Source organism: Homo sapiens, chromosome 17 (assembly GCF_000001405.40).
Source record: "Homo sapiens chromosome 17, GRCh38.p14 Primary Assembly".
Lineage (NCBI taxonomy): Eukaryota > Metazoa > Chordata > Mammalia > Primates > Hominidae > Homo > Homo sapiens.
In genome coordinates this window covers 62369685-62383067 of record NC_000017.11, presented here as the reverse complement: position 1 = coordinate 62383067, position 13383 = coordinate 62369685, and the positions used below count along the sequence as shown (strand labels likewise).

Genomic DNA, 13383 nt, shown 5'->3' with positions numbered 1-13383 from the left:
CATTCATTACCTACCTTTTATTGTGGGAGATGGGTACTTTTGTTAGAGGATTCAGCTTAAGTTTTGGTTTAATTTCTGAAACTGCCATGTGGCCAGTGACTCTGTCTGGAATTCAGAATATACAATTAAGAAATCAGTTTACAGATTCATTCTTTATATTCTTTTGCAACTTTTTCAGCTCAAAGCCTGGAGTTTGAAAAGTCTAGGGCCTCAAGAAATGGTAATAGATGCAAACTCAAGTTAGAGGTATGCATAAAGTTGGAATGCCATGTGGAAATTCCCCTTCGTTGTTCCCGATTTCTGAGCAAAGTTGCTTGTCACTGCTCCCCCTTCAATTAGTGTCACTCTGATCCTATGTAAGAATAAATGCTAAGTGAAATAAGCCAGACACAGAAAGACCAATGCTATATGATCTAACTAATATGTATAATCTAAAATAGTTTAACTCATAGAAGCAGAGAGTAGAATGGTGGTTGAGGAAGGAGATATGGGGAGATGTTGGTGATACAAAGTTTGAAGATGAATAAATTCTGAAGATCTAATGAACAGCATGGTGACTACAGGTAATAATACTACTGTAATGTATACCTGAAATTTGCTAAGAGATTAGATCCTAAGTGTTCTCACTACACACACACACACACACAAATAGTAACTAAGTGAAGTGATGAATATGTTAATTAGATTGATTGTGGTGATTGTTTAACAATGTATACATATATCAAATTATCAAGTTGTACACCTTAAATAATAAAAATGGTGCCATGTGACACAGATAATGAGCATTCTGGAAATATATGGAAAAAGTTATTTAAAGATGCTATTTTATTATGAAATCAGTAGAGCATTTCAAGTCATAATTGACAAAGAATAAAATGTATTTGCCTACTTGTTTACATCTTAGATACCTGCCTAGTAGTAAGTAGATTTTCCCAGGGTTTCTTTTGGGGAGACTCATCCCTGCCCTGTCACTTCTTGGGACCAACTGTTGTTTGTTTGTTTGTTTTTGTTTTTGGATGTGTAAAAGGCTTTATTTGCAGGGGAGCAGGAATTTAATAAAAGAGACCAAATCCCATGTCATCGTCTGACTCTTTGGACACCTCCTCCTCCTCCTCATCTTCTCCTCTGCTGCAGCGGGGGTGGAACCAGCAGCAGGAGCTGCACAGCCTGGGGCAGCAGAGACAGCCACAGCCCCACCGGCAGGTACACTGGCAACCTTGCCAATACCCTGGGCAATGACATCTTCAATGCTTTTTCCATTCAGCTCACTGATAACCTCGTTGAGCCGGTCGTCGTCCGCCTCGATGCCTACGCTGTCCAGGATCCTCTTGATGTCTTTGGCTCTGAGGGAGGTGCTGCCCCCGAGGGCAGCCAGCAGGAGGGAGGTGACCGAGCGCACTGGGGGCGGGCGTCTACGGAGGCGGTGGCAAGGCCTCCATGCGTGCGATCTTGGTGGAGTCAGGGAGGAAAAGCCCAGGTGGTCTTGGTTAACAGTAGGAATGGGGGTGGGATACAATGCAGTTCTGCTACCCTAGACCCCGGAAGGAACTTGTGAATTACCGTCGCCTTTCCACTTGGCATAGTTTGAGAAACAGGGCTTATGGACCAGAAGCTGGGTTGGTAGGGCTTCCCCCTCTCTTGTTATTTGAACCAAGCCAAATGTCCAACAATGATAGACTGGATTAAGAAAATGTGGCACATATACACCATGGAATACTATGCAGCCATAAAAAATGATGAGTTCATGTCCTTTGTAGGCACATGGATGAAGCTGGAAACCATCATTCTCAGCAAACTATCGCAAGGACAAAAAACCGAACACCGCGTGTTCTCACTCATAGGTGGGAATTGAACAATGAGAACACACGGACACAGGAAGGGGAACATCACACACTGGGGCCTGTTGTGGGGTGGGGGGAGGGGGGAGGGATAGCATTAGGAGATATACCTGATGTTAAATGACGAGTTGATGGATGCAGCACACCAACATGGCACATGTATACGTATGTAACTAACCTGCACGTTGTGCACGTGTACCCTAAAACTTAAAGTATAATAATAATAAAAAAATGTAGAGTGTATTTGATAGTTCACTGACAAGAAAACTAGGTTGCTGACTTAGGAATAATGGATAATTGAATACTATCCAACCATGAGGAAAAAAAGTCTCTGAATGTTTGGTTAGAATTTGATCCATTTTCCCAGGTCTCCACCTCAGAGCCCAGAAAGCAGTTGTTTCTAAACAACTCAATTACAAGTCCTCAAAATCTGAAAACCTGCCACAGAGCTGGGAACACCAGAATGGCTCAACAATTCAGGCATTTGAAAGGTGCTGTGAAATCATCCCCATACCTCAAAATAATCATTTCTTTAAAAAAATACCTTCAATTCTCATAGATAATAGATTTTTTAAAAAGGACTTAGCATAGAATCCTACAAAATCACGATATTTACCTACTTTTAAGCCGTGCTACCTACCACTTCTGGGCTTCAATCAGATCAGGAATCCAATAAAGGGTTTGTTCCATCACACAACTGTGACCTCATTCACTGCTCAGGCTCAAGCCTAGGGAGAGAATGACCCAGGAGCTCCTTCCAACCTTACAGCAAGTGTGTTTTCAGTGTGGTTCATTCAGCACCCTTGGTGTATATGAGGGTATGATTTATAAAATCTGAACATTTTGACACTGTTGGAATTTCAGGGAAGGGGGAGAATTTTTGTTTCAAGTTCTATATTAATATATTTTCATGTTAATGTCTTCATCAGGCTGGGTGTGGTGGCTCATGCCTGTGATCCCAGCACTTTGGGGGGCCGAGGCGGGCAGATCACCTGAGGTCAGGAGTTTGAAACCAGCCTGGCCAAATGATGAAACCCTCATCTCTATTAAAAATACAAAAATTAGCTTGGTGTGGTGGTGCACACCTGTAATCCCAGCTACTCAGGAGGCTGAGGCAGGAGAATTGCTTGAACTTGGGAGGCAGAGGTTGCAGTGAACTGAGATCACGCCCCTGCACTCTAGCCTGGGCGACAGAGCGAGACTTTTGTCTCAGAAAAAAAGAGAAAGTCTTCATCAGTCAGTTGAAAGTTGTTCAATTAAAACATTTTACTCAGCTGCCTTCACTGAATGGTGATTAAGAATCATTTCATTAATTGTTTAAGCCTAGAAAGAGAGGCAAAAAAACTCTCATAGGCTGTCTTTAGTATTATTGGGAAAAGTGCTTTCAAAAGAACAATTACAGAAAAGATTGTTTTAAGCAGAAACCAAGGTATTCATGATCTGACATGTCTCATGGCATTATAAATACTCTAGCGCAGGAGTTAGGAGTGTCTTTAGTCTATCATGGCTAAGTACAGATATCTCTGGCACCCAAGGCTTAGCTAGTTATATAGTTGGGCCCCTAAAAGTGCTTCAGGTTTCACTTGCAGCAGTTCTAGAGGTTTCCTATTCCTGCTCAGGGGGATTTGTTCATTATGAGCATAATTTGACTTTAACCTAATCTTTTTAAGCTTGGTACACTGCCTCCCATTCTGGACAGGAACACACAAGGAAAGAAAGGGAAGGCTTAATTTATAAATTAATTCAACAATTATTTACTAAGAGCCTACTATATTAAAGGCTACTTACTTAGATTTTTTTTTTTTTTTTTTTGGTGAGGTCTCACTATGTTGCCCAGGGTTGAGTGCAGTAGCAGGATCATGGTTCACTACAGTCTCGACCTCCCAGGCTCAAGTGAGTCTTCCACCTCAGCCTCCCCAGTAGCCAGGACTACAAGGTGCAGGCCACCATGCCCAGCTACTTTTTTGTATTTTTGGTAGAGATGAGGTTTCACTATGTTGCCCAGACTGGTCTCGAAATCCTGGCCCCCAGCAATCTCCTTGGCCTCCCAAAGTGCTGGGATTACAGGCGTGAGCTACCATGCCCAGCCTTATTGTTGTGTTACAGCATTCTTTATATATTTTGGAGACTAGATCCTTATCAATTACATAATTCACAGATATTTTTCCCTATTCTGTGGGTTGTCTTTTTACTTTATTGATAATGTTCTTTCAGCCACAGAAGTTAGTCCTGGAATTTTAAAGCTGAAAGATAACTAATAGATCATCAACCTAATTCTGCCCCCAACCCACCACATTTTTTTTTTTGTTATACTTTAAGTTCTGGGACACATGTGCAGAACGTGCAGGTTTGTTATATAGGTATACACGTGCCATGCGGGTTTGCTGCACCCATCAACCTGTAATCTACATGAGGTATTTCTCCTAATGCTATCTCTCCCCTAGCCCCCCACCCCCCTACCCCCCAACAGGCCCTGGTGTGTGATGTTCCCCTCCCTGTGTCCATGCCCATTTCATTTTTTTTAAAAAAGAGACAAGTTCTTTCTTTGTTAGCTGAGGCTGAAGTGCGGTGGTGCAGTGATGGCTCAATGCAGCCTCCAATTCCTGGGCTCAAGTGATCCTTCCACTCAGCCTCCCGAGTAGCTAGGACTACAGTAGGCAAGTGCCACTACAACTGATTAATTTTAAAATTTTTTATAGAGAGGGGGCCTCGCTGAATTTCCCAGGCTGGACTCATAGTCCTGGCTTCAAGTGATCTTCCTGCCTCCGCCTCCCAAGGCTCTAGGATTACAGGTGTGAGCCAGTGCTCCAGGTCCTCACCCATTTTATTTTACTGCTAAGGACACTAAAGCCCAATGAACTGAATTAATTTCCTTAATGGCAGAGTCAGGAACACCTGCTTTGTAAATTGTACTGTGATACCAAATAGGCTACAGTGTTCTTAGAGGTTAAAAAAATCATAAATGGAGCATTAGAAAAGAATATAAAATACCTGATAATCACATGTGATTCAGTGTGGTGTGGACTATAAAGGTACAAGGAACTTAGAAAGAAAGTTGGAGAGATAACGGTGTTCATTCACTTTATGGACAAGTAGATGGAGGATAGAAACTGACAAGACAATTAGGGAAAGTAACTAAGGTATTAAAAAATGTAAGTCAAAGTATTAAGCCCCATCTTTACAATGGCTTCACATCAGCTTTCACACTCACCTTTAATATCATTTGCAGTTTTCAACTTATGCAGAGTCACCATTCCTTTTGCTTAAAGACAAGATTAAGAATCAAAATTACATGAATTTCTGAAGTTATGGAAAGTAGACTAGGAGGGCATAATTTATCTTATTTTTTTCCCCAGATGAGTGAAAAAATTAAGAAAATGTCAAGGTTATATGGGATATCCATCTTTCATATTGTTTCTTTTGGTGCCTTAATGCATTGCACTCCAAAAGCAAAAATTGAAAAGCACTATAGTGTCAGCATTGAAATCAAGACTATTCATTTATCATCTTTTAGGATGTAAAGAAGTGGAATGACTTTGAAAATCTGTTGATTCAGGAGGAAGATGATCTGTTACCCACTTCATTTTCATGAATGCTTTGTTTAGGAAGGTATTGACTAATTAGATACCTTTTAATGAGATAGATATTTCTTTCTAGTGAATTATCCTATCAAATATGTGGGTATAATTAACTAACTGCAAAATCTCCCTTCACCCCACCCCTTTCTATGGCCAGAACAACAACCAATCAAAACCTTAATAGTACAGATTTAACTTTTTTTCTTTTCTTTCCTCTAAAAATGTGGGAGTAGTTTTGTTTTCTAAGCATGAGGAGATTAATACTCAGGAAAAAAGTGTGGCTATAATAACTCAGTTTCCTATGTTTGGTTTGGTTTGGCCTGGCCAGATAAACCAATAATGTATTATTTTAATATCAAAAAAGGTCCATGGCAGATGATGAAACACAGAAACATGGAAAATGCTTGGTGATCCCTTTAGGTTATAGAGGCTATATAAGGTAATATATAATGCAGAAAGCAATACATATAAAGAAGAAATATCTTTCCTATGGGGAAAGGATTAATTCTAATATGAAACACATAATCTGTAGAATTCAGAAAAACCTACACCTATGAAGCAGCTTTTCTTTTCCTGCCTCTGATCTGGTCACTCTCTCTCTCTCTCTCTATTGCTTGGCTCTTCTCCCTTCCTGGATATTAGTTTGCTAGAGGCACCCTATGCCATTCTTAGACACTGCACGTGGCAACATGATGGTTGAGAATGTGACTTAGAAGATGACAAGAAGCAGACTTTATTTTTATATGGCGACTTTTTTTCTAAATGTATGTTAGACTTTCTCTGTGTCCCTAGTAAGTAAAGTTTTAGAAATTCTCATGTGGAACCTTACAACCCCAGTGCCTCTGAAGGCCAGAGTGAAGTTCTGAATGTTCACCATCAAATAACATAAATTTTAGCAGGTCTTGAAGTTGTTCATATATGAATGTTATTTCCACGTTATCACGCTTAGGTAGCTGAAATTCACCTTTATTCTTTAGAAAGTAGAAATGGTGAAATGGAAATGGGAGAAAAAGATATTTAAGTGTGAAAAATGCCATTGCCATTATGCCTATGTCTGTCATCTGAAATTTGAGTGTGAAGACTTAAATCACAGTAGTATATTTGAAGGCAAATGTGTCAATATGGCATTAAGAAATAAAATTTGTCCCTTAATACTTATATAAAGAAAACTTTCTTTAAAAGTTTTTTTAGGCAGAGTCTCGCTCTGTCACCCAGGCTGGAGTGCAGTGGTGCGATCTCGGCTCACTGGAACCTCTGCCTCCCAGGTTCAAGTGGTTCTCCTGTCTCAGCCTCCCAAGTAGCTGGGAGTGTGCCACCAAGCCTGGCTAATTTTTGTATTTTTGTAGAGACGGGGTTTCACTATGTTGGCCAGGCTGGTCTCTAACCCCTGACCTCAAGTGATTCACCTGCCTCGGTCTCCCAAAGTGCTGAGATTACAGGCGTGAGCCACCGTGCCCAGCCAAAGAAAACTTTATAAGTGAAAATGTAGTATTATTGAGTGAATCTTTGAAATAGAAACCAGTATTTGAAATTTCTAAAAATATGAAACATACTTTAAAACATCTAAATTTTCTTTAAGGCACTGTAGACTTCACAGAATAAAATATATTTCAGTGGCAGTAGGTGGATTGGGGCTTATGAAGTGAAGAAAACATGTGGGCGAGCTGGGTAGCCATGTGAAATGTATATGTTTGATAAAGAGACTGGAAGAAAAAGAAAGAATAGCACTAGAAAAACAAGGGGAAGCTGGAGCAAAAGAAAAAAATATATTTTTAGAGATATGGAGAAGATAATAAAAGAGGAAAAAAGAAGAAGTGGAAGAGGAGAAAGAAGAATGATAGAAAAGTAAGCAAAGATATCTGAAGTGTTGTGCCTTCCTGGCTTTATAAATGGTTAAGAGCCAATTCTGATATGGGTGACTCGTTTATGTTACCTGGGGTTAGTTTTACAGAACTGTTTGTTCTGAGTTGCCCAGATAGGAGGGATTATCTTAAGAATGACCTTGATACAGCTGCTTCAGTTAGTGAATCTTCAATTATCTGAAAGCAGGAGACTAGAACCTCTATCAGGTAATCAACAAGTATTTATTGAGCATATACTGTGTACTCAAAAACTAAGCTTTTGTGAGAGTGGGAACCTTGCTTTATCTTTTGGTCATTGCTAAACTTTCTTGAACAGTGTCTGGGTGCTCAAAAAATACTTATTGGTGAACATAGAACTTATACATGGCCATGGGAGATGGTTTCCAGTATCTCCAATTGGCAGTATGATTTTAAAGGCTGGGGATAAAAACTACCAAGTGAACATTCCTGAAAGTTTTCTGGCACCAACAACAAAAGCAGCAATAGATGGGATAGACTGGGCTTATTAAAAGGTAGATATTTTTTCTTTTACAAATAAAATACAACAGGACTAACTTGGAAATATTAGGCATGGGTACCCAGAATTTAAATTTATTTTCTATTAAAATTCATTTTGTGGATACTTGCATAATATACCTTAAATTATTCTTACATCCTCCTTTTTTATTTCTTTTTACAGACAAGGTCTCACTCTATCATCGAGGCTGGAGTGCAGTGGTGCAATCACAGTTCACTGCAGCTTCAACCTCCTGGGCTCGAGCAATTCTCCGACCTCAGCTTCCTGAGTAGCTGGAACTACAGGTGTATGCCACCACACATGGCTAATTTTTGTAATTTTGTGTAGAGATGGAGTTTTGTCATATTGCCCAGGCTGCTCTCCAACTCCTGGCCTCAAGCAATCTGCCTGTCTTGGCCTCCCAAATTGTTGGGATTACAGAAGTGAGCCACCATGCCCTGCAACATCCTCCTTTTTGAAACACAGTCAGGCTTGCAGAGACACAGCAAATTTCTTTTTTGTCGCACTTGTTAGGAATGCAGATGCAGAGAATAAATCAAGATTACTTAAAAATGAACTCAAGATTGAGGTTGTACGTGTGTGGGAAGAGGGCAGAGACAAGTTTTACCTTGCCTCTGTTGATCAATTTCACAGCATAATGTTCAAATCTCCCATTCATTTGGAACATGGCATTTTGGCAATAAGAAACTTATTTTAGAAATAATTAAATATAAGGGGCCTACAACCAAAAAGTACTGAGATTATGTATTAAATTTCAGAGGCATCCAGAAAGGAACTTTAGATTATTAGCTATATTTATTTATTTATTTTTTGAGATGGAGTCTCTCTATGTTGCCTAGGCTGGAGTGTAATGGCACAATCTCGGCTCGCTGCAACCTCCGCCTTCCAGGTTCAAGCGATTCTCCTGCCTCAGCCTCCCGAGTAGCTGGGACTACAGGCACGCACCATGACGCCCAGTTAATTTTTGTATTTTTAGTAGAGATGAGGTTTCACCATGTTGGTCAGGCTGGTCTCAAACTCCTGACCTCAGGTGATCCACCCGCCTTGGCCTCCCAAAGTGCTGGGATTACAGGCATGAGCCACCGTGCCCGGCCTAGCTATATTTATAAAAAAGTAAGATTTTAATATGAGTAAGAAAAGGGAATGTAAATACATTGGACATGGATAAAAAAGCACAGAAATTATGTATGCATAAGGAAAAAATTTGTGGTGATAAAATTATGGATTATCATTGGAGGATAGAATTAAGAATTATTAAAATTTCCTTTTTTCATCTTTTCATTTGCTAAATATAGAAATTTTCTATAATGAACATATATTACTTTTATAACCAAGAAAACACAGATAAAAATACACATATAGCATCAGATTATAATTTTATATTGTATAATAAATTTTCACTTACGTTTAAACTTCTTCAGGCCCTCCATTATTGAATTAACATTAATCTTTCCATTTCCTGTAAAACATTTTGGTTTAGATACAGAGGCAGTCACATAAAAATTCATAACAGTTGTGAAATTATTAAAAACAATATAATAGGCTGAAATTCTTCCATGAGTTAGAAGAACTAGAAACATTGGTTTGCTTTGGAATTTGGATTCATTTTTCTGTCAGGTGAATATGATGGAAAAAAAAAGATGAACTTTTGTTTTGGCTCTGTCTGGCTCTGTCCTTCAGGCTGGAGTGCATGGCGTGATTATGGCTCATTGCAACCTTGACCTCCCTGGCTCAAGCGATACTCTCACCTCAGCCTCCTGAGCAGCTGGGACTGCAGGTGTGTGCCACCACACCCAGCTCATTAAACAATTTTTTTTTTTTTGTAGAGATGGGGGTCTCCCTATGTTGCCCAGGCTGGTCTTGAACTCTTGGCCTCAAGTGATCCTCACGCCTTGGCCTCCCAAAGTGTTGGGATTACAAGTGTGAGCCACTGTGCCTGGCAAGGATGAGTCTTTGAAAGAGATACCTATTTCTACATTTTTTTTTTTTTTTTGAGGCAGGGTCTCACTCTGTCACCCAGGCTGGAGTGCAGTGGTGTGATCTCAGCTCAGTGCAACCTCTGCCTCCTGGGTTCAAGTGATTCTCGTGCCTCAGACTCCCAAGTAGCTGGGATCACAGGCATGTGCCATCATGCCAGCTAATTTTTTTTATTTTTAGTGAGATGGGGTTTCGCCAGGTTGGCCAGGCTGGTCTCGAACTCCTGGTCTCAAGCAATCCACCCACTTCAGCCTCCCAAAGTTCTGGGATTACAGGCTTAAGCCACTGTGCCTGGCCCTATCTCTGCTTTTTAAAAAGCAGTTCATCTTTTCTGTGCTTTAGGAAATTGTATTAATCAAAGGGACAAAAATAAGAAGGAACAAGGTATTTTGAGGGAACTGTGGGTAGTTCAGTTGGTTTGGAGCATGACATGTTGGAAGTAGTGGAGGAGAAAGCTGAGAAGTACATGGGGGCTATGTTGCCGTGGGTTTTGTTTGGACTTTTTTGGGAACATAGGAAAGAGTCATGAAGGTTTCTGACCATTGCTATGTAAAGGTTGATCTGAAGGCAATCTGCCTTTTTAGAGGCAGGATACAGAGAGATAAATGAAACTGAATATGTTGGAAAGGAATTATTAAAGGAGTAATTTTTGGAAAGAGAGTAGATGAGATCAAGAGTAGTGGATTAAGAAGGGTTGTAAAGAATCTCTTCAACTGGCCGGGCGCGGTGGTCACGCCTGTAATTCCAGCACTTTGGGAGGCTGAGGCAGGCAGATCACTTGAACCCAGGAGTTGGAGACCAGCCTGGGCAACACGGTGGTACCCCGTCTCTACAAAAAATACAAAAATCAGCTGGGCATGGTGGTGTGTGCCTGTAGTCCCAGCTTCTTGGGAGGCTGAGGTAGGAGGACAGCTTGAACCCAGGAGACGGAGGTTGCAAGGTTGAGCCCAGGAGCTGATAACATGCCACTGCACTCCAGCCTGGGTGACAGAGCCAGACCCTGTCCCCAAAACAAAAAACAAAATCTCTTCAACTGAAGAGAGAAGAGGAAGAAAATATAGGCAAAAAAGGAAGAAATGAAAAACTAGAGAGAACAGAACATGGAGATATGTTTGCAACGGATTGGTTCAAATTTATTGCCATAAAACCATGATTTGAGAAACCTAATGGTTCAGTGTCTCATCTCCTACTTTCAGTTGGGCTTCGTAGAGAAAGCGAAGTATGTCTCCTTTCTTCATCCTTGTATTCCTAGTACCTAGTATAGGGCCTGACATATTCAGTGACCAATAAATATTTGTTGCTTGAATAAATCAATATACTCTTTTAAATTCAAGGCCAGGCTGAATGGAAACTCTCTGACAACATCACTGAAGCATTATAGTAAGAAACGTTATCCTCCGATGCACTTAGAACATCTTTTTCTGGGATATCAGAACAAAAAAGAAAGTGGTAGAAATAAAAAAGTATTTATATAGCACAAGGGCCAGTGAGTAAGCCATGTAAATAGACTCAATAAACAATAATAAAATTTCAATAAACAAACAACCCCAAATTCCCCCTCCTTCCCCTGTGTATCTCTTCCTAATACTCATTTTATTTTCTAGTTTCACTCGCTGTAATATTTTTCCTTATTTTTCAGGCTGGAATCATACCATCAGGCACAACTTAGCATATTGGTTGTATTTGTGATTTAAGAAATGAAAGTCATGCACAATCTTTTGTTTTCATTTTTTATTTTTGAGACGGAGTCTCACTCTGTCACCAGGCTGGAGTGCAGTGGCGCAATCTTGGCTCACTGCAACCTCCCCCTCCTGGGTTCAAGTGATTCTCCTGCCTCAGCCTCCTGAGTACCTGGGATTACAGACGTGTGCCACCAAGCCCGGCTAATTTTTTTTTTATTTTTAGTAGAGACGGGGTTTCACCATGTTGGTCAGGCTGGTCTCGACCTCCTGACCTCAGGTGATCCACCCGCCTCAGCCTCCCAAAGTGTTGGGATTACGGGTGTGAGCCACCGCGCCCGGCAAGTCAGGCACAATCTTAACATATCATGTCTTTTTTTCATCTTTTAGGTCTTTGATAGGCAAAAGGTGGCTCATGCACCAGCATCATTGGCATCACCTGAGAGCTTGTTAGGAAGGCAGAATCTCAGGCTCTACCCTATTCTTGAACCAAAATCTGCTCTTTTTTTTTTTTCTTTTTTTAAGGAGACAGGGTCTTGCCCTGTTGCCCAGGCTGGAATGCAGCGGTGCAATCATAGCTCATTGCAATCTCGAATTCCTGGGCTCAAGTGATTGTCCTGCCTCAGCCTCCCAATTAGCTAGGACTATAGGCATGTGCCATCACGCCTGGATAATTAAATTTTTTTTTTTTTGTAGAGACAGGGTTTCAGTCTATTGCTCAGACTGATCTTGAGCTTTTGGCCTCAAGAGATCCTCTTGCCTCAGCCCTCCAAAGCACTGGAATTATAGGTGTGAGCCACCACGTCTGGCCCCCAAATCTGCATTTTAACAAGACGACCAAGTGATTCATATGCACGTTTAAGTTTGGGAAGCTATGTTCTAGGTGTTACAAAGATAAGGATCATTTCTGAGGATGTTATGTACAGGATGACAAAAGTACACTTCTTCTTTTTTTTTTTTGAGACAGAGTTTCGCTCTTGTTGCCCAGGCTGGAGTGCAATGGCACAATCTCAGCTCACTGCAACCTCCCCCTCCTGGGTTCAAGCGATTCTCTTGCCTCAGCCTCCTGAGTAGCTGGGATTACAGGTGCCCACCACCACGCCCAGTTAATTTTTTGTAGTTTTAGTAAAGACGAGGTTCCACTGTGCTGATCAGGCTAGTCTCGAACTCCTGACCTCAGGTGATCCACCTGCCTTGGCATCTCAAAGTGCTGGGATTACAGGCGTGAATCACCATGCCCAGCCCAAAAATACACTTCTAAGAAGGTAACATAATTATAAAACATACACCTCACCGTTAAATGTCAAATGAGGCATCAACTCCTTCATTTCTTCTTCTGTGAGCTCAATCCCTTCGCTTGCTAGAAATTGTCTAAGTTCTGGACATCAATCACCTCTCCTTAGAAAGGGTGAGAAATGAATTGCAAAAATATTACAGAATTATTTGCAAAGGACAAAGAACACTATCTGTGCTTATATACATTATCATCCAGAATAGGAGAATCAGAAACAAAAATCTTTAATTCTGATTGAAAGAATCAGAAAGTGGCTACAAAGAAGAAAGTAACCAGGGGTTAGGAATTGACTGGTGGGTTGTTGCAAAATCCACAGCACATTAAAGTACATATAGGGACTTAGTTTTATGTAACAACATTACAGATTAATGTAACAGGGGAAAGATAGAATTCCATCACTCTAACACAGGAACCATTTTTAGTTTTTGATATTCCATTTTGGTCTTGGCAATAAGGCTTTACTTTTACAATGTGGAAATCTAATACATGTACACTTCTGTATTTTGCTTTTCCAACCTAAAATCATTCCTTCATAAACATGTTTCCAAGTTGCCATATAATCTTTACAGCTAGCATTTTAACATGGTATCCCATTAAACTGACATACCATGGTTTATGTAGTAATTCCTGTATGGTTA

General features: G+C 40.5%; 1 protein-coding gene, 1 long non-coding RNA gene and 1 pseudogene across 5 annotated transcripts in view; 1 reads left to right on the top strand and 2 right to left on the bottom strand.

Moving 5' to 3' along the window:
• EFCAB3 (EF-hand calcium binding domain 3) overlaps positions 1 to 12850 on the bottom strand; it is a 46263-nt gene extending 33413 nt beyond the window's left edge. The window contains exons 1-4 of one of the 4 annotated variants that reach the window (NM_001144933.2): positions 12746 to 12850; positions 9201 to 9254; positions 5050 to 5100; positions 15 to 105 (exon numbers count right to left, since the gene is read on the bottom strand). In NM_001144933.2, the coding sequence (NP_001138405.1) occupies positions 15 to 105; positions 5050 to 5100; positions 9201 to 9254; positions 12746 to 12779 (230 nt within the window). In that variant the 5' untranslated portion in view covers positions 12780 to 12850. Of the gene's footprint in view, positions 1 to 14; positions 106 to 1948; positions 2039 to 2454; positions 2539 to 5049; positions 5101 to 9200; positions 9255 to 12745 lie in introns of those variants that run through there. The other 3 variants (XM_011524380.2, NM_173503.4, XM_011524381.3) reach the window with 3 other exon arrangements.
• RPLP2P5 (ribosomal protein lateral stalk subunit P2 pseudogene 5) lies at positions 1016 to 1472 on the bottom strand (annotated as a pseudogene).
• LOC105371854 (uncharacterized) lies at positions 2566 to 7993 on the top strand. The gene is made up of 3 exons (XR_934897.1): positions 2566 to 2656; positions 5353 to 5447; positions 7958 to 7993. It is a non-coding gene; the product is annotated as an uncharacterized LOC105371854 (long non-coding RNA).
• Positions 12851 to 13383: the final 533 nt, after the last annotated feature.